General features: G+C 36.6%; 1 annotated feature.

Annotated features, from left to right (window-relative positions):
* Positions 5,059 to 5,560: an enhancer, noted in NCBI's record as "NANOG hESC enhancer chrX:58496043-58496544 (GRCh37/hg19 assembly coordinates)". NCBI's record gives its function as "activates a minimal SCP1, AML or CMV promoter by ChIP-STARR-seq in primed H9 embryonic stem cells {active_cell/tissue: H9 hESC(primed)}" and the evidence as "EXISTENCE:reporter gene assay evidence [ECO:0000049][PMID:30033119]".

Here is a 20,610-nt window from a genome sequence, read left to right on the forward strand (position 1 = left end):
AGAAAATTTCAACCCTGTGAGATGAATGCACACATCACAAACAAGTTTCTCAGAAACCTTCTGTCTAGTTTTATTTTGAAGATATTTCCTTTGCACTTTGAGGTCTAGGGTGAAAAGGAAATATCTTCACATAAACACTAGATAGAAGGTTTCTGAGAAACTGCTTTGTGATGAGTGCATTCATCACACAGAGGTAAAAATTTCTTTTCATTGAGCAGATTGGAAACAGTCTATTTGTAGAATCCGCAAAGGGAAATTTGTGAGCATTTCGAGGCCTATGCTGAAAAAGGAAATATCTTCACATAATAACTAGACAGAAGGTTTCTAAGAAACTGCTTTGTGATGTGTGCATACATCTCACAGAGGTAAACATTTCTTTTCATTGAGCAGATTGGGAACTCTGTTCTTGTAGAATCTGTAAAGTGATATTTGTGAGTGCTTTGGGGTCTATGGTGAAAAAGAAAATATCTTCACATGAAAACTAGACAGAAGCTTTCTGAGAAACTTCTTTGTGATGTGTGCATTCATCTCATAGAGATGAAACTTTCTTTTCATTGAGCAGTATGGAAACAGTCTTTTTGTAGAATCTGTGGAGGGATATTTGTAAGTGGATAGAGGCCTATGGTGAAAAAGGAAATAGCTTCAAATAAAAACTAGATGGAAGCATTCTAAGAAACTTATTTTTGATGTGCGCATTCATCTCACAGAGTTGAACCTTTCTTTTGAGCAGTTTGGAAACAGTCTTTTTGTATAATCTGCAGAGGGCTATTTGTGAGCGGTTTGAGGCCTATGGTGAAAAAGAAAATATCTTCACATAATAACCAGAGAGAAGCTTTTTGAGAAACTTCTTTGTGATGTGTGCATTCATCTCACAGAGTTGAACCTTTCTTTTCATTGAGCAGTATGGAAACAGTCTTTTTGGAGAATCTGAAAAAGGGTATTTGAAGCGCTTTGCTTCCTATGGTGAAAAAGGAAATATCTTCACATAAAAACTATACAGAAGTTTTCTTAGAAACTTCTTAGGGATGTGTGCATTCATCTCACAGAGTTGAAGTTTTCTTTTTATTGAGCAGTTTGGACATAGTCTTTTTGTATAATCTGCAGAGGGATATTTGTGAGCAGTTTGAGGCCTATAAAGAAAAAGGAAATATCTAAACATAAAAACTAGACAGAAGAATTCTTAGAAACTTCTTCATGTTGTGTCCATTCATCTCACAGAGTAGAAGCTTTCTTTTGATTGTGTAGTTTGGAAAGAGTCTTTTTGTAGAATCTGCAAAGGGATATTTGAGAACCCATTGAGGCCTATGTTGAAATAGGAAATTTCTTCACTTTAACACCAGACAGAAACTTCTGAGAAACTTCTTTGTGATATGTCCTTTCATCTCAAGAGGTGAAACTTTCTCTAGATTGAGCACTTTGGAAATAGCCTTTTTGTAGAATCTGCGAAGGGATATTTGTGAGCCCTTTGAGGCCTATGGTGAAAACTGAAATATCTTCATGTAAAAACTAGACAGAAGCTTTCTGAGAAACTTCTTTATGATGTGTGCTTTCATCTCACAAAGTTGAACCTTTCTTATGATTGAGCAGTTTGGAAACGTCTTTTTGTAGAGTCTGCAAAGGGATATTTGGGAGCAGTTTGAGGCCTTTGGTGAAAAGGAAATATGTTCACATAAAAACTAGACAGAATCTTTATCAGAAACTTCCTTGTGATGTTTGCATTCATCTCACATAGTTGAACATTGCTTTTCATTCATCAGTTTCGAAGCAGTCTTTTTGTACAATCTGCAAAGGGATGTTTCTGAGCGTTTTGAGGCCTAAGGTGAAAAAGAAATATCTTCACACAAAAACTAGACAGAAGCATTCTGAGAAACTTCTTTGTGATGTGTGATTTCATATCACAGAGTTGAGCCTTTCTTTTGATTGAGCAGTTTGGAAACAGTCTTTTTGTAGAATGTGCAAATGGATATTTGGAGCGCTTTGAGGCCTGTGGTGAAAAAGGAATTATCTTCACATAAAAACTAGATAGGCAATTTCTGAGAATCTTATTTGTGATGTGTGCTTACATCTCACAGAACTGAAATTTTCTTTTGATTGAGCAGTTTAGGAACAGTCTTTTTTAGACTTTGAAGAGGGATATTTGTGAGCTGTTTGAGGCCTATGGTGAAAAAGGAAATATCGTCACATAAAAACTAGACAAAGGCATTCTGAGAAACTTCGTTGTGATGTGTGCATTCATCTCCCAGAGTTGAACGTTTCTTTTGATTGAGCAGTTTGGAAACAGTCTTTCTGTAGAAACTTCAATGGTATATTTTTGAGCCCATTGATTCCTATGGTGAAATAGCAAATATCTTCACATAAAAACTAGACAGAAGCTTTCTGAGAAACTTTTTTTGATGTATCCTTTCATCTCAGAGAGCTGAACCTTTCTTTTGATTGAGCAGTTTGGAAACAGACTTTTTGTAGAATCTGCAGAGGGATATTTGTGAGCGGTTTGAAGCCTATAGTGAAAAAGGAAATATACTCACAGAAAAACTAGAAAGAAGCATTCTGAGTAACTTCTTTGTGATGGGTGCATTCATCTCACAGAGTTGAACTTTTCATTGAGCAGTTTGGAAGCAGTCTTTTTGTAGAATCTGCAAATGTACATATGTGAGCCCATTGAGGAATACTGTGAAATACAATATATATTCACATAAAAACTAGACAGAAGTTTCTGAGAAACTTCTTTGTGATTCGTCTATTCATCTGACAGTGTTGAATATTTCTTTTGGTTGACAAGTTTAGAAACAGTCTTTATGAAGAACCTGCAGATGGATATTTTTGAGCGGTCTGAGGCCTATGGTTAAAAAGGAAATATCTTCACATAAGAACTAGACAGAAGCATTCTGAGTAACTTCTTTGTGAAGGGCGCATTCATCTCACAGAGTTGAACTTTTCTTTTGTTTGAGCATTTTGGAAACAGTCCTTTTGTAGAATCTGCAATGGTATATATGTGAGTCCATTGAGGCCTATGGTGAAATTGGATATATATTCACGTTTAAACTAGACAGAAGCTTTCTGAGAAACTTCTTTGTGATGCTTTCATTCATCTCACAGAATTGAACTTTTCTTTTGATTAAGCAGTTTGGAAACAGTCTTTTTGTAGAATCTGCAATTGGATATTTGTGAGCAGTTTGAGGCCTATGGTGAAAAAGGAAATATCTTCACATAAAAACTAGACAGAAGCATTCTGAGAAAGTTCTTTGTGATGTGTGCTTTCATCTCACAGAGTTGAACCTTTCTATTGATTGAGCAGTTTGGAAAAAGTCTTTTTGTAGAATTTGCAAATGGATATTGGAGCTCTTTGAGGCCTATGATGAAAAAGGAAATATCTTCACATAAAAACTAGATGGAATCTTCTTGAGCAACTTCTTTGTGATGTGTGCTTTTGTCTCACAGAGTTGAACCTTTCTTTTGATTGAGCAGTTTGGAAACAGTCTTTTTGTAGAATCTGCAAATGGATATTTGGAGCTCATTGAGGCCTATGATGAAAAAGGAACGTGGGCAAGGACTTCATGTCCAAAACACCAAAAGCAATGGCAACAAAAGCCAAAATTGACAAATGGGATCTAATTAAACTAAAGAGCTTCTGCACAGCAAAAGAAACTACCATCAGAGTGAACAGGCAACCTACAACATGGGAGAAAATTTTCGCAACCTACTCATCTGACAAAGGGCTAATATCCAGAATCTACAATGAACTCAAACAAATTTACAAGAAAAAAACAAACAACCCCATCAAAAAGTGGGCGAAGGACATGAACAGACACTTCTCAAAAGAAGACATTTATGCAGCCAAAAAACACATGAAGAAATGCTCATCATCACTGGCCATCAGAGAAATGCAAATCAAAACCACTATGAGATATCATCTCACACCAGTTAGAATGGCAATCATTAAAAAGTCAGGAAACAACAGGTGCTGGAGAGGATGTGGAGAAATAGGAACACTTTTACACTGTTGGTGGGACTGTAAACTAGTTCAACCATTGTGGAAGTCAGTGTGGCGATTCCTCAGGGATCTAGAACTAGAAATACCATTTGACCCAGCCATCCCATTACTGGGTATATACCCAAAGGACTATAAATCATGCTGCTATAAAGACACATGCACACGTATGTTTATTGCAGCACTATTCACAATAGCAAAGACTTGGAACCAACCCAAATGTCCAACAATGATAGACTGGATTAAGAAAATGTGGCACATATACACCATGGAATACTATCCAGCCATAAAAAATGATGAGTTCATGTCCTTTGTAGGGACATGGATGAAATTGGAAACCATCATTCTCAGTAAACTATCGCAAGAACAAAAAACCAAACACCGCATATTCTCACTCATAGGTGGGAATTGAACAATGAGATCACATGGACACAGGAAGGGGAATATCACACTCTGGGGACTGTGGAGGGGTCGGGGGAGGGGGGAGGGATAGCATTGGGAGATATACCTAATGCTAGATGACACGTTAGTGGGTGCAGCACACCAGCATGGCACATGTATACATATGTAACTAACCTGCACAATGTGCACATGTACCCTAAAACTTAGAGTATAATAAAAAAAAAAAACATTAAAAATAAAAAAAAATAAAAATAAAAAAAAACAATTAACATTAAAAAAAAATAAAAAAAAGAAATATCTTTTTGAAAATAAAAAATAAAATTTTATGGCTTCTTATTTTCTAAAAAAAAAAAAAAAAGAAAAAGGAAATATCTTCACATAAAAACTAGACAGAAGCATTCTGAGAAACTCCTTTGTGATGGGTGCTTTCATCTCACGGAGTTGAACTTTTCTTTTGAGTGAGCAGTTTGGAAACAGTCTTTTTGGAGATTCTGTAAAGGTATATTTGTGAGCTCATTGAGGTCTATGGTGAGATAGCATTTATATTCACAAAAAAACTAGACAGAAACGTTCCGAGAAACTTCTTTGTGATGCATGCATTCATCTCACAGAGATGAACCTTTCTTTTGATTGGGCAGTTTGGAAGCAGTCTTTTTGTAGAATCTGCAGACGAATATTTTTGAGTGGTTTGAGGCCTGTGGTGAAAAATGTAATAACTTCACATAAAAACTAGACACAAGCTTTCTGAGAAACTTATTTCTGATGTGTGCATTCATCTCACAGAGGTGAATCTGTCTTTTTTTTGAGCAGTTTGGAAACACTCTTTTTGTAGAATCGGCAGAAGGATATTTGTGAGCGGTTTGAGGCCTATGGTGAAAAAGGAAATATCTTCACATAAGGACTAGACAGAAGCATTCTGGGAAACTTCTTTTTGATGCATGCGTTCATCTGACAGAGTTGAACATTTCTTCTGATTGAGCAGTTTGGAAACAGTCTTTTTGCAGAATCTGCAAATGGATATTTGGAGCTTATTGAGGCCTATGATGAAAAAGGAAATATCTTCACATAAAAACTGGACAGAAGCTTTCTCAGAAACTTCTTTCTGATGTGCGCATTCATCTCACAGAATTGAACCTTTCTTTTGATTGAGCAGTTTGGAAACAGTCTTTTTGTAGAATCTGCAGAGGGATATTTGTGAGCAGTGTGAGGCCTATGGTGAAAAAGAAAATATCTTCACATAAAAACTAGACAGAAGCATTCTGAGAAACTCCTTTGTGATGGCTGCTTTCATCTCATGGAGTTAAACTTTTCTTTTGAGTGAGCAGTTTGGAAACAGTCTTTCTTTTTGGAGAATCTGTAAAGGTATATTTGTGAGCCCATTGAGGCCTATGGTGAAATAGCACATACATTTACAAAAAAACTAGACAGAAACGTTCTGAGAAACTTCTTCATGATGTGTGCATTCATCTCACGGAGATGAACCTTTCTTTTGATTGGGCAGTTTGGAAGCAGTCTTTTTGTAGAATCCGCAGACGAATATTTTCGAGCGGTTTGAGGCCTGTGGTGAAAAAGGTAATAACTTCACATAAAAACTAGACACAAGCTTTCTGAAAAACTTCTTTCTGATATGTGCATTCATCTCACAGAGGTGAATCTTTCTTTTGTTTGAGAAGTTTGGAAACAGTCTTTTTGTAGAATCAGCAGAGGGATATTTGTGAGCGGTTTGAGGCCTATGGTGAAAAAGGAAATATCTTCACATAGGAACTAGACAGAAGCATTCTGGGAAACTTCTTTTTGATGAGTGCGTTCATCTGACAGAGTTGAACCTTTCTTTTGATTGAGCAGTTTGGAAACAGTCTTTTTGTAGAATCTGCAAAGGTATATTTGTGAGCCCGTTGAGACCTATGGTGAAATAAGATATATATTCACATAAAAACTAGACAGAAGCTTTCTGAGAAACTTCTTTGTGATGCATGCATTCATCTCACAGAGTTGAACCTTTCTTTTGATTGAGTAGTTTGGAAACAGTTTTTTTGTAGAATCTGCAGACGGATATTTTTGAACGGTTTGAGGCCTATGGTGAAAAAGGAAATATCTTCACATAAAAACTCGACAATAATGTTCTGACAAACTTCTTTGTGATGTATTCATCTCACAGAGTTGAATCATTCTTTTGATTGAGCAGTTTGGAAACAGACTTTTAGTAGTATCTGCGAAAGGATACTTTTTAGCCATTTGAGGCCCATGGTGAAATAGGAAATATCTTCAAATAAAAACCAGACAGAAGCATTCTGAGAAACTTCATTGTGATGTGTGCATTCATCTCACAGAGTTGAACATTTCTTTTGATTTAGCAGTTTGGTAACAGTCTTTCTGAAGAATCTGCAAAGAGATATTTGTGAGCCCCCTGAGGCCCATGGTGAAATAGGAAATATATCTTCAAATAAAAACTAGACAGAAGCTTTCTGAGAAACTTCTTTTTGATGTGTGGTTTCATCTCACAGAGTCGAAACTTTCTTTTGATTGAGCAGCTTGCAAACAGTCTTTTAGAAGTATCTGCAAAGGGATGTTTTTGAGCCATTTGAGGCCTGTGGTGAGATAGGAAATATTTTCAAATAAAAACTAGACAGAAGCTTACTGAGAAACTTCTTTGTGATGTGTGCTTTCATGTCACAGAGCTGAACCATTCTTTTGATTGAGTAGTTTGAGAACAGTGGTTTTGTAGAATGTGCAAATTTATATTTAGACTGCTTTGAGACCCATGGTGAAAAATAAAATATCTTCTCATAAAAACTAGACAGAAGTTTTCTTAGAAACTTATTTGTAATGTGTGCTTTCATCTCACAGAGCTGACTCTTTTGATTGAGTAGTTTGGAAACTGTCTTTTTGTAGAATCTGCAAATGGATATTTTTAGTGCTTTGAGGCCCATGGTGAAATAGGAAATATCTTCTCATAAAAACTAGACAGAATCTTTGTGAGAAAGATCCTTGTGATGTGTGCATTCATCACACAGAGTTGAAAATTTCTTTTGATTGAGCAGTTTGGAAACAGTATTTTTGTACATTTGGCCGAGGGATATTTGTGAGTGATTTGAGGCCCATGGTGAAAAAGGAAATATCATCATATAAAAATTAGACAGAAGCTTTCTGAGAAACTTCTTTGTGATGTGTGCTTTCATCTCACTGTGTTGTACGTTTCTTTTGATTGAGCAGTTTGGAAGCAGTCTTTTAGTAGTATCTGCAAAGGTATAATTTTGGGCCATTAGAGGCCTATGGTGAAATAGGAAATATCTTCACATAAAAACTAGACATAAGCTTTCTGAGAAACTTCTTTGTGATGTGTGCTTTCATCTCACAGTTTTGAAAATTTCTTTTGATTGACCAGTTTGAAAAATGTCTTTTTGTAGAATCTGCAAATGGATATTTTGAGTGCATTGAGGCCTATGGTGAAAAAGGAAATATCTTCACATAAAAACAAAACAGAAGCATTCTGAGAAACTTCTGTGTGATTTGTGCATTCATCTCACAGAATTGAAACTTTCTTTTGATTGAGCAGTTTGAGTTTGGAAAAAGTGTTTTTGTAGAAACTGCAAAGGGATATGCCTGAGCCCATTGAGGCCTATGCTGAAATAGGAAATATCTTCACATAAAAAATAGACAGAAGGTTTCTGAGAAAGTTCTTTGTGATGTGTGCTTTCATCTCACAGAGTTGAACCATTGTTTTCATTAAGCAGTTTGGAAACAGTCTTTTTGTAGAATCAGCAGAGGGATACTTTTGTGCGGTTTGAGGCCTACAGTGAAAAAGGAAACAACTTCACATAAAAACTAGACAGAATCATTCTGAGAAAATACTTTGTGATGGGTGCATTCATCTGACAGCGTTGAACCTTTCTTTTGATTGATCAGTTTGGAAACAGTCTTTTTGTAGATTCTGCAAAGTGATATTTTTGAGCCCTTTGATGTCTATGGTGAAATAAGAAATATCTTCACATAAAAACTAGACAGAAGCATTCTGAGAATCTTCTTTGTGATGGGTGCATGCGTCTCACAGAGTGGAACTTTTGTTTTGATTGAGCAGTTTGGAAACAGTCTATATTTTGAATCTGCAAAGATACATTTGTGAGCCAATTGAGGCCAATGGTGAAATAGGATATATTTTCACATAAACACTAGAGAGAAGCTTTCTGAGAAACTGCTTTTTGATGCATGCATTCATCTCAGAGTTGAATCTTTCTTTTGATAATGCTGTTTGGAAACAGTCTTTTTGTAGAATCTGCAGATGGATATTCTTCAATGGTTTGACGACTATGGTGAAAAAGAAAATATCTTCACATAAAAACTGGAGAGAAGCGTTCTGAGAAACTTCTTTGTGATGGGTGCATTCATCTCACAGAGTTGAACCTTCCTTTTGATTGAGCAGTTTGGAAACACTCGTTTTGTAAAATCTGCAAAGGGATATTTGTGAGTCCATTGAGACCTATGGTGAAATAGGAAATATCGTCACATAAAAACTAGACAGAAGCATTCTGAGAAACTCCTTTGTGATGTCTGCATTCGTCTCACAAAGTTGAACTTTTGATTGAGGAATTTGGAAACAGACTTTAGTAGTGTCTGTGAAGGGATATTTTTGAGCCTTTTTAGGCCTATGGTGAAATAGGAAATACATTCACATAAAAACTAAACAGAGCTGTCTGAGAAATTTCTTTATGATGGGTGATTTCATCTCACAGATTTGAACCTTATTTTTGATTGAACAGTTTGTAAACAGTTTTTATGTAGAAACTGCAAATGGACATTTGGAGCACTTCGAGGCCTATGGTGAAAAAGGAAATATCATCAAACAAAAACTAGACTGAAACTTTCTGAGAAACTTCTTTGTTATTCGTGCGTTCATCTCCCATAGTTAAAATTTACTTTTGATAGAGCAGTTTGAAAACAGTCTTTTTGTAGAATCTGCAAATGGATGTTTTGAGGGCTTTGAGGCCTATGGTGAAAAAGGAAATATCTACACATAAAAATTAGACAGAAACTTTCTGAGAAACTTCTTTGTGATGTGCGCTTTCATCTCAAAGAGTTGAAACTTTCTTCTCGTTGAGCAGTTTGGAACCAGTCTTTTTGTAGAATTGGCAGAGGGATATTTCTGAGCGGTTTGAGGCCTACGGTGAAAAAGGAAATATCTTCACATAAAAACTAGGCAGAAGCATTCTGCGAAATTTCTTGGTGATGTGTGCATTCATCTGACAGAGTTTAACCTTTCTTTTGATTGAGCAGTTTGGAAACAGTCTTTTAGTAGTATCTACCAAGGGATATTTTTGAGCCATTTGAGGCTGATGCTGAAATAGGAAATATCTTCACATAAAAACTAGACAGAAGCTTTCTGAGAAACTTCTTTGTGATGTGTGCCTTCTTCTCGCAGATTTGAACGTTTCTTTTTATTGAGCAGTTTGGAAACTGTGTTTTTGTAGAATCTGAAAAGGGATATTTGGAGCGCTTTGAGGCCTATGGTGAAAAAGGAAATATCTTCACATAAAAACTAGACAGAAGCATTCTGAGAAACTTCATTGTGATGTGTGCATTCATCTCACAGAATTGAACCTTTCTTTTGAGTGAGCAGTTTGGAAACATTCCTTTTGTAGAATCTGCAATGTGATATTTGTGAGCGGTTTGAGGCCTATGGTGAAAAAGGAAATATCTTCACATGAAAACTAGACAGAGGCATTGTGAGAAACTTCTCTGTGATGCATGCATTCATCTCACAGAGTTGAAACTTTCTTTTGATTGGGCAGGTTGGAAACAGTCCTTTTGTAGAATTTACAAAAGGTTATTTGTGAGGCCTATGGTGAAACAGGAAATATCTTCACATGAAAACCAGAGAGAAGCTTTCTGAGAAACCACTTAGTGATGAGTGCCTTCATCTCACAGAGTTGAACCTTTCTTTTGATTGAGCAGTTTGGAAATAGTGTTCTTGTAGAATCTGAAAATGGATATTTGGAGCTCTTCGAGGCCTATGGTGAAAAAGGAAGTATCTTCACATAAAAACTAGATAGAAGCTTTCTCAGAAATTTCTTTCTGATGTGTGCATTCATCTCACAGAATTGAACCTTTCTTTTGATTGAGCAGTTTGGAAACAGTCTTTTTGTAAAATCTGCAGAGGGACATTTGTGAGCGATTTCAGGCCTATGGTGAAAAAGGAAATATCTTCATATGAAAAATAGACAGAAGCATTCTGAGAAACTTCTTTGTGATGTGTGATTTCATCTCACAGAATTGAACCTTTCTTTTGATTGAGCAGTTTTGAAACAGCCTTTTTGTAGAAACTGCAAAGGGATATTCCTGAGCCCTTTGATTCCTATGGTAAAAAAGGAAATATCTTCACATAAAAACAAGACAGAATGTTTCTGAGAGACTTCTTTGTGACGTGTGCTTTCATCTCACAGAATTGAACCTTTGTTTTCATTGAGCAGTTTGGAAATAGTCTTTTTGGAGAATCTGCAAAGGGATATTTTTGAGCCTTTTTAGGCCTATGGTGAAATAGGAAATACCTTCACATAAAAATTAGACAGATGCGTTCTGAGAAACTTCTTTGTGATGGGTGCCTGCAACCAGAGAGTTGAACATTTCTTTTGATTGAGCAGTTTGGAAACAGTCTGTTTGTAGAATCTGCAAAGGTATATTTCTTAACCCATTGATTCCTATGGTGAAATAGGAAACATCTTCACATAAAAACTAGACAGAAGCTTTCTGAGAAAATTCTTTGTGATGTGTGCATTCATCTCACACAGTTGAAACTTTCCTTTGATTGAGCAGTTTGTAAACGGTCTTTTTGTAGAATCTGCAAAGGGATATTTGACAGCGCTTTGAGGCCTATGTTGAAAAAGGAAATATCTTCGTATAAAAACTAGACAGAAACTTTCTGAGAAACTTCATTGTGATGTGTGCATTCATCTCACAGAGTTGAACCCTGCTTTTGATTGATCAGTTTGGAAACAGTCTTTTTCTAGAATCTGCAAAGGGGTATTTCTGAGCGGTTGGAGGCCTATGGTGATAAAGGAAATATCTTCATATAAAAAAATAGACAAAGCTTTCTGAGCAACTTCTTTCTGATGTGTGCATTCATCTCGCAGAGGTGAAACTTTCCTTTGATTGAGCAGTTTGGAAACAGTGTTTTTGCAGAATCTGCAAAGGGATATTTCGGAGCTCTTTGAGGCTTATGGTGTAAAAGGAGATACCTTCACATAAAAACTAGACAGAGGCTTTCTCTGAAACTTCCTTGTGATGTGTGCATTCATCTCACAGAGTTGAAATTTCTTTTGATTGAAAGGTTTGGAAGCAGTGTTTTCGTAGAATCTGCACAGGGATGTTTCTGAGCAGCTTGAGTCCTATAGTGTAAAAGAAAATATATTCCTGTAAAAACTAGACAGAAGCATTCTGAGAAACTTCTTTGTCATGTGTGCATTTATCTCACAGAGTTGAACTTTTCTTTTGATTGAGCAGTTTGGAAACCGTCTTTTTCTAGAATCTGCAAATGGATATTTCTGAGTGGTTTGAGGCCCCTGGTGAAAAAGGAAACATCTTCATATAAAAACTAAACAGAAACTTTTTGAGAAACTTCTTTGCGTTGTGTGCATTCATCTCACAGAGTGGAAACTTTCTTTTGATTGAGCAGTTTGGAAACAGTCTTTTTCTAGAATCTGCAAATGGATATTTCCGAGTGCTTTGAAGCCTATAGTGAAAATGGAAATATCTTCATATAAAAACTACACAGAAATTTTCTGAGAAACTTCTTTCTGCTGCAGGCATTCATCTCACAGAGTGGAAACTTCCTTTTGATTGAGCAGTTTGGAAACAGTCTTTTTCTAGAATCTGCAAAGGGATATTTCTGAGCTTTTTGAGGCCTATGGTGAAAAAGGAAATATGTTCACCTAAAAAGTAGACAGAAGATTACTGAGAAACTTCTTTGTAATGTGTGCATTTTTATCATAGAGCTAAACCTTTCTTTTCATTGAGCATTTAGGAAACAGTCTTTTTGTGGAACCTGCAAAGGGATATTTGAGTGCCATTTGAGGCCTATGATGAAAAAGGAAATATCTTCACATAACAACTAGACAGAAGCTTTCTGGGAAACTTCTTTGTGATGTGTGCATTCATCTCATGGAGTTCAAACTTACTTTCCTTTGATTGAGCAGTTTGGAGACAGTCTTTCTGTAGAATCTGCAAAGGGATATTTGGGAGTCCTTTGAGGCCTATGGTGAAAAATGAAATATCTTCACATAAAAACTAGACAGAAGCTTTCTGAGAAATTTCTTTGTGATGCATGCATTTATTGCACAGTTTTGAAACTTTCTTTTGATTGAGCAGTTTGGAAACAGTCTTTTCGTAGAATCTGCAAAGGGATATTTGGGAGCCCTTCGAGGCCTATGGTGAAAACGGAAATATCTTCACATAAAAACTAGACAGAAGCTTTCTTAGGAACTTCTTTTTGATGTGTGCATTCATCTAACAGAGGTGAATTTTTCTTTTGATTGAGCAGTTTGGAAACAGTCTTTTTCTATAATCTGCAAGGGGATTTTTCTGAACATTGTGAGGCATACGGTGAATAAGGAAACATGTTCAAATAAATACTAGGCAGAATCACTCTGAGAAACTTCTTTGTGATGTGTGCATTCAACTAACAGAGTCGAAATTTTCTTTTGAATGAGCAGTTTGGAAACAATATTTTTGTAGAGTCTGCCAAGGGATATTTGGGATCCCTTCTAGGCCAATGGTGAAAAAGGAAATATCTTCACATAAAAACTAGACAGAAGCATTCTGAGAAACTTCTTTGTGATGTGCGCATTCATCACACAATTTGAACATTTATTTTTTTTATTTTATTATGATTATACTTTAAGTTTTAGGGTACATGTGCACAATGTGCAGGTTAGTTACATTTGTATGCATGTGCCATGCTGGTGTGCTGCACCCATTAACTCGTCATTTAGCATTAGGTATATCTCCTAACGCTATCCCTCCCCCCTCCTCCCACCCCACAACAGTCCCCAGAGTGTGCTGCTCCCCTTCCTGTGTCCATGTGCTCTCATTGTTCAATTCCCACCTATGAGTGAGAACATGCGGTGTTTGGTTATTTGTCCTTGCGATAGTTTACTGAGAATGATGATTTCCAATTTCATCCATGTCTCTACAAAGCAGATGGATTCACAGTCGAATTCTACCAGAGGTACAAGGAGGAACTGGTACCATTCCTTCTGAAACTATTCCAATCAACAGAAAAAGAGTGAATCCTCCCTAACTCATTTTATGAGGCCAGCATCATCCTGATACCAAAGCCGGGCAGAGACACAACCAAAAAAGAGAATTTGAGACCAATATCCTTGATGAACATTGTTCCAAAAACCCTCAATAAAATACTGGCAAACCGAATCCAGCAGCACATCAAAAAGCTTATCCACCACGATTAAGGGGGCTTCATCCCTGGGATGCAAGGCTGGTTCAATATACGCAAATCAATAAATGTAATCCAGCATATAAACAGAACCAAAGACAAAAACCACATGATTATCTGAATAGATGCAGAAAAGGCCTTTGACAAAATTCAACAACCCTTCATGCTAAAAACTCTCAATAAATTAGGTATTGATGGGGCGCATCTCAAAATAATAAGAGCTATCTATGACAAACCCTCAGCCAATATCATACTGAATGGGCAAAAACTGGAAGCATTCCCTTTGAAAACTGGCACAAGATAGGGATGCCCTCTCTCACCACTCCTATTCAACATAGAGTTGGAAGTTCTGGCTAGGGCAGTTAGGCAGGAGAAGGAAATAAAGGGTATTCAATTAGGAAAAGAGGAAGTCAAATTGTCCCTGTTTGCAGATGACATGATTGTATATGTAGAAAACCCCATTGTCTCAGCCCAAAATCTCCTTAAGCTGATAAGCAACTTCAGCAAATCTCAGGATACAAAATCAATGTACAAAAATCACAAGCATTCTTATACACCAATAACAGACAAACAGAGAGCCAAATCATGAGTGAACTCCCATTCACAATTGCTTCAAAGAGAATAAAATACCCAGGAATCCAACTTACAAGGGACGTGAAGGACCTCTTCAAGGAGAACTATAAACCACTGCTCAAGGAAATAAAAGAGGATACAAACAAATGGAAGAGCATTCCATGCTCATGGGTAGGAAGAATCAATATCATGAAAATGGCCATAATGCCCAAGGTAATTTATAGATTCAATGCCATTCCCATCAAGCTACCAATGACTTTCTTCACAGAATTGGAAAAAACTACTTTAAAGTTCATATGGAACCAAAAAAGAGCCCTCATCGCCAAGCCAATCGCAAGCCAAAAGAGTACAGATGGAGGCATCATGCTACCTGACTTCAAACTATACTACAAGGCTACAATAACCAAAACAGCATGGTACTGGTACCAGAACAGAGATATAGATCAATGGAACAGAACAGAGCCCTCAGAAATAACGCCACATATCTACAACTATCTGACCTTGACAAACCTGGGAAAAACAAGCAATGGGGAAAGGATCCACTATTTAATAAATGGTGCTGGAAAACTGGCTAGCCATATGTAGAAAGTTGAAATTGGATCCCTTCCTTACAACTTATACAAAAATTAATTCAAGATGGATTAAAGACTTAAACGTTAGAACTAAAACCATAAAAACACTAGATGAATATTTCTTTTAGTGGAACACTTTGGAAATAGTCTTCTTGTAGTATCTGCAGAGGGATATTTGTGACTGGTTTAAGGCCAATGGTGAAAAACGAAATATCTTCACATAAAAACTAGACAGAACCTTTCTGAGAAACTTCTTTGTGATGCCTTCATTCATCTCACAGAGTTGAACCTTTCTTTTGATTGAGCAGTTCGGGAACAATCTTATTGTACAATCTGCAAATGGATATTTCTGAGCCCTTTGAGGCCTATGGTGAAATAGAAAATATCTTCACATAAATACTAGACAGAAGCTTTCTGAGAAACTTCTTTGTGATGTATCCTTTTATCTCACAGAGTTCAACCTTTTTTTTTTGATTCAGCAGTTTGGAAACAGTGTTTTCATAGAATCTTCAAAAGGATATTTGCAGCACTTTGAGGCCTATGGTGAAAAAGGAAATACCTTCTCATAAAAACTACACAGAAGCATTCTGAGAAACTTCTTCATGATGTGTGCATTCATTTCACAGAGTTGAAACTTTCTTTTGATAGAGCACTTTGGAAACAGTTTTTTGTAGTATCTGGAGAGGGATATTTATTACCGGTTTAAGGCCTATGGTGAAAAAGGAAATATCTTCACATAAAAACTAGACAGAAGCATTGTGAGAAACGCCTTTGTGATGTGTGCATTCATCTCACAGAGTTAAACTTTTCTTCTGATTGAGCAGGTTTGAAACACTCTTTTTGTATAATCTGCAAATGGATATTTGGAGTGATTTGAGGCCTATGGTGAAAAAGGAAATATCTTCACATAAAAACTAGACAGAAGCATTCTGAGAATCTTTTTGGGATGTGTGCATTCATCTCACAGGGTTGAAAATTTCTTTTCATTGAGCAGTATGGAAACAGACTTTTTGTAGAATCTACAAATGCATACTTGGAGCGTTGTGAGGCCGATGGTGAAAAAGGAAATATCTTCCCATAAAAGCTAGACAGAAGCATTCTGAGAAACTTCTTTGTGATGCCTGCATGCATCGCACAGAGTTGAACCTTTCTTTTGATGGAAAAGTTTGGAAACAGTCTTTTTGTTGAATCTGCAAAGGGATATTTCTGAGTGGTTTGAAGTCTATGGTGAAAAAGGACATATCTTCACAAAAAAACTAGACGGAAGATTTCTGTGAAACTTATTTGTCATGAGTGCATTCATCTCAGAGAGTTGAAAGTTTCTTTTGATTGAGCGGTTTGGAAAAAGTCATTTTGTGGAATCTGCAAAGGAGTATTTGAGGGCCCTTTGAGGCCTATGTTGAAAGAGGATATATCTTCAAGTAAAAACTAGATGGCAGCTTTCTGAGATACTTTTTGTGATGGGTTCATTCATCTAACAGACTTCAAACTTTCTTTTGATTCAGCAGTTTGGAGACAGTGTTTTCACTGAATCTGCAAAGGGATGTTTTGGAGCCCTTTGAGGCCTGTGGTGAAAAAGGAAATCTCTTAACATAAAAACTAGACAGAAGCTTTCTGAGACACCTCTTTGTGATGTGTGCATTTATCTCACAGAGTTGAATCTTTCTTTTGATTGAGCAGTTTTGACACAGTCTTTTTGTAGATACTTAAAAGAGAAATTTCTGAGCGTTTTGGGGCCTACAGTGAAAAAGTAAATATCTTCACATAAAAACTAGACAGAAGCTTTCTGAGAAACTTCCTTGTGATGTGCACATTCATCTCACAGAGTTGAACCTTTCTTTTGATTGAGCATGCTGGAAACTCTGTTTTTGTAGAATCTATAAATGGATATTTGGAGTGCTTTGAGGCCTATGGTGAAAAAGGAAATATCTTCACATAAAAACTAGACAGAAGCATTCTGCACAACGTCTTTGTGATGTGAGCATTCATCTCACAGAGCTGAACCTTTCGTTTGATTGAGCAGGTTGGAATCACTATTTCTGAAGAATCTGCAAATGGATATTTGGAGTGCTTTCAGGCCTATGGTGAAAAAGGAAATATCTTCACATAAAAACTAGACAGAAGCGTTCTGAGAAACCTCTTTGTGATGTGTTCATTCATCTCACAGAAGTGAAACTTCCTTTGATGGACCAGTTTGGAAACAGTGTTTTTGAAGTATCTGCAGAGGGATATTTTTGACCAGTTTAAGGCCTATGGTGAAAAAGGAAATATCTTCCCCTTAAAACTAAACAGAACCTTGTGAGAAACTTCTTTGTGATGTGTGCATTCAACTAACAGAGTTGAACCTTTCTTTTGATTGAGCAGTTTGGAAACAGTCTTTTCATAGTATCTGCACAAGGATATTTGTGAGCCCTTCACAGCCTATTGTGAAATAGGAAATGTCTTCCCATAAAAACTAGATGGAAGCATTCTGAGAAACTTCTTTGTGGTGTGTGCATTCAACTCACAGTGCTGAAACTTTCTTTTGATTGAGCAGTTTGGAAACAGTCTTATTGAAGAATCTGCACAGGGATATTTGTGAGCCCTGTAAGGCCTATGGTGAAACAGGAAATATCTTCACATAAAAAGTAGACAGAAGCTTTCTGAGAATCTTCTTTGTGATGTGTTTTTTCATCTCACAGAGTTGAAACTTTCTTTTGATTGAGCAGTTTGGAAACAAAAAGACTGTTCTTTTTGTAGATTCTGCAAATGGATATTTGGTTCGCTTTGAAGCCTGTGGTGAAAAATTAAATATCCTGCCATAAAAAGTAGACAGAAGCATTCTGAGAAACTTCTTTGTCATGTGTGCATTCATCTCACAGAGGTGAACCTTTCTTTATATGGAGCACTTTGGAAACAGTCTTTTTGTAGTATCTGCAGAGGGATATCTGTGACCGGTTTAAGGCCTATAGTGAAAAAGGAAATATCTTCACATAAAAACTAGACAGAAGCATTCCTAGAAACTTCTTTGTGATGTGAGCATTCATCTCACAGAGTTGAATCTTTCCTTTCATTGAGCAGTTTGGAAACAGTCTTTTTGTAGAATCTGCACATGGATATTTGGGGTGCTTTGAGGCCTATGGTGAAAAAGGAAATATCTTCCCATAAAAACTGGACAGAAGCATTCGATAAATTTCTTTGTGATGTGTGTATTCATCTCACAGAGTTGAACCTTTCTTTTGATTGAGCAGTTTGGAAACAGTGTTTTCTTAGAATCTGCAAAGGGATATTTGGAGCCCTTTGAAGCCTATATTTAAAAAGGAAATATCTTCACATTCAAACTAAACAGAAGCATTCTGAGAAACTTCTTTGTGATGCCTGCATTCATCTCACAGGGTTGAACCTTTCTTTTGATGGCACACTTTGGAAAGAGTCTTTTTGTAGTATCTGCAAAGGGATATTTGTGACCTGTTTAAGGACTATGGTGAAAAAGGAAATATCTTCACATAAAAACTAGACAGAAACATTCTTAGAAACTTCTTTGTGATGTGTGCATTCATCTCCGAGTTGAATCTTTCTTCTGATTGAGCAGTTTGGAAACACTCTTTTTGTAGAATCTGCAAATAGATATTTGGAGCGCTTTGAGACCTATGGTGAAAAAGGAAATATCTTCCCATAAAGACTAAACAGAAGCTTTCAGATAAAGTTATTTGTGATGTGTGCATTCATCTCACAGAGTTGAAACTTTCTTTTGATTGAGCAATTTGGAAACAGTCTTTTCGTAGAATCTGCACAGGGATACTTGCGAGCCCTTTATGGCCTATTGTGAAATAAGAAATATCTTCACATAAAAACTAGACAGATGCATTCTGAGAAACATCTTTGTGATGTGTACATTCATCTCTCAGAGTTGAACCTGTCTTTTGATTGAGCAGTTTGGAAACAGTGTTTTTGAAGAATCTGCAAAAGGATATTTGGAGCCCTTTTAGGCCTACAGTGAAAAAGGAAATATCTTCACATGAAAACCAGAAAGAAGCATTCTGAGAAACTTCTTTGTGATGCCTGAATTCATCTCACACGGTTGAACCTTTCTTTTATTGAGCACTTTGGAAACTGTCTTTTTGTACAATTTGCAAATGAATGTTTCCGAGCCCTTTGAGGCCTATGGTGAAAAAGATATATCTACACATAAAAACTAGACAGAAGCATTCTGAGAAACTTCTTTCTGATGCCTGCATTCATCTCACAGAGTTGAACCTTTCTATTGATTGAGCAGTTAGGAAACATTCTTTTCGTAGAATCTGCACAGGGATATTTGTGAGCCCTTTATGACCTATGGTGAAATAGGAAATATCTTCATATAAAAACTGAACAGAAGCTTTGTGATAAACTACTTTGTGATGTATGCTTTCATCTCACAGAGTTGAACACTTCTTTCCATTGAGCAGTTTGGAAACAGTCGTATTTTAGTATCTGCAAATGCATATTTGGAGCGCTTTGAGGACTATGGTGAAAAAGGAAGTATTTTCACATGAAAACTAGACAGAAGCATTCTGAGAAACTTCTTTGTGATGTGTGCATTCATCTCACAGAGTTGAACCTTTCGTTTGATTCAGCAGGTTGGAAACACTCTTTTTGTAGAATCTGCAAATGCATATTTGGAGCACTTTGAGGCCTATGGTGAAAAAGGAAATATCTTCATATAAAAACTAGAGAGAAGCATTCTGAGAAACTTCTTTGGGATGTGTGCATTCATCTCGCTGAGTTTAACCTTTCTTTTGACTGAGCAGGTTGGAAACACTCTTTTTGTAGAAACTGCAAATGGATATATGGAGCACTGTGTGGCCTATGGTGGAAAAGGAAATATCTTCCCATAAAAACTAGTCAGAAGCATTCTGAGAAATTTCTTTGTGAAGAGCGCACTCATCTCACAGAGTTGAAACTTTGTTTTGATAGAGCAGTTTGGAAACAGTCTTTTTGTACAATCTGCAAAGGGATATTTCCGAGCCGTTTGAGGCCTATGGTGTAAAAGAAATATCTTCACATAAAAACTAGACAGAGGCATTCTGAGAAACTTCTTTATGATGTGTGCATTCATCACAAAGAGGTGAATCTTTCTTTTGATAGAGCAGTTTGGAAACAGTCTTTTGGTAGAATCTGCATTGGGATATTTTTGAGCCTTTTAAGGCCTACAATGAAACAGTAAATATTTTCACATAAATGCTACACAGAAGTTTTCTGAGAAACCTCTTTGTGATGTGTGCTTTCATCTCACAGAGTTGAACCTTCCTTTTGATTGAGCAGTTTGGAAAAAGTCTTTTTGTATAATCTGCAAATGGACATTTGGTGTGCTTTGAGGTCTGTGGTGAAAAAGGTAATATCTTCACATAAAATCTAGACAGAAGCATTCTGAAAAAATTCTTGTCATGTGTGTGTTCATTTCACAGAATTGAACATTTCTTTTGATGGCGTACTTTGGAAACAGTCTTTCTGTGTATCTGCAGAGTGATATTTGTGACCAGTTTAAGGAATATGGTGAAAAAGGAAATATCTTCACATAAAAACTAGACAGAAGCATTCTGACAAACTTCTTTGTGATGTGTGCATTCATCTCAAAGAGCTAAACCTTTCTTTTGACTGAGCAGTTTCGAAAC

The sequence above is a fragment of the Homo sapiens genome, chromosome X, assembly GCF_000001405.40.
Source record: "Homo sapiens chromosome X, GRCh38.p14 Primary Assembly".
Taxonomy (NCBI): Eukaryota; Metazoa; Chordata; class Mammalia; order Primates; family Hominidae; genus Homo; species Homo sapiens.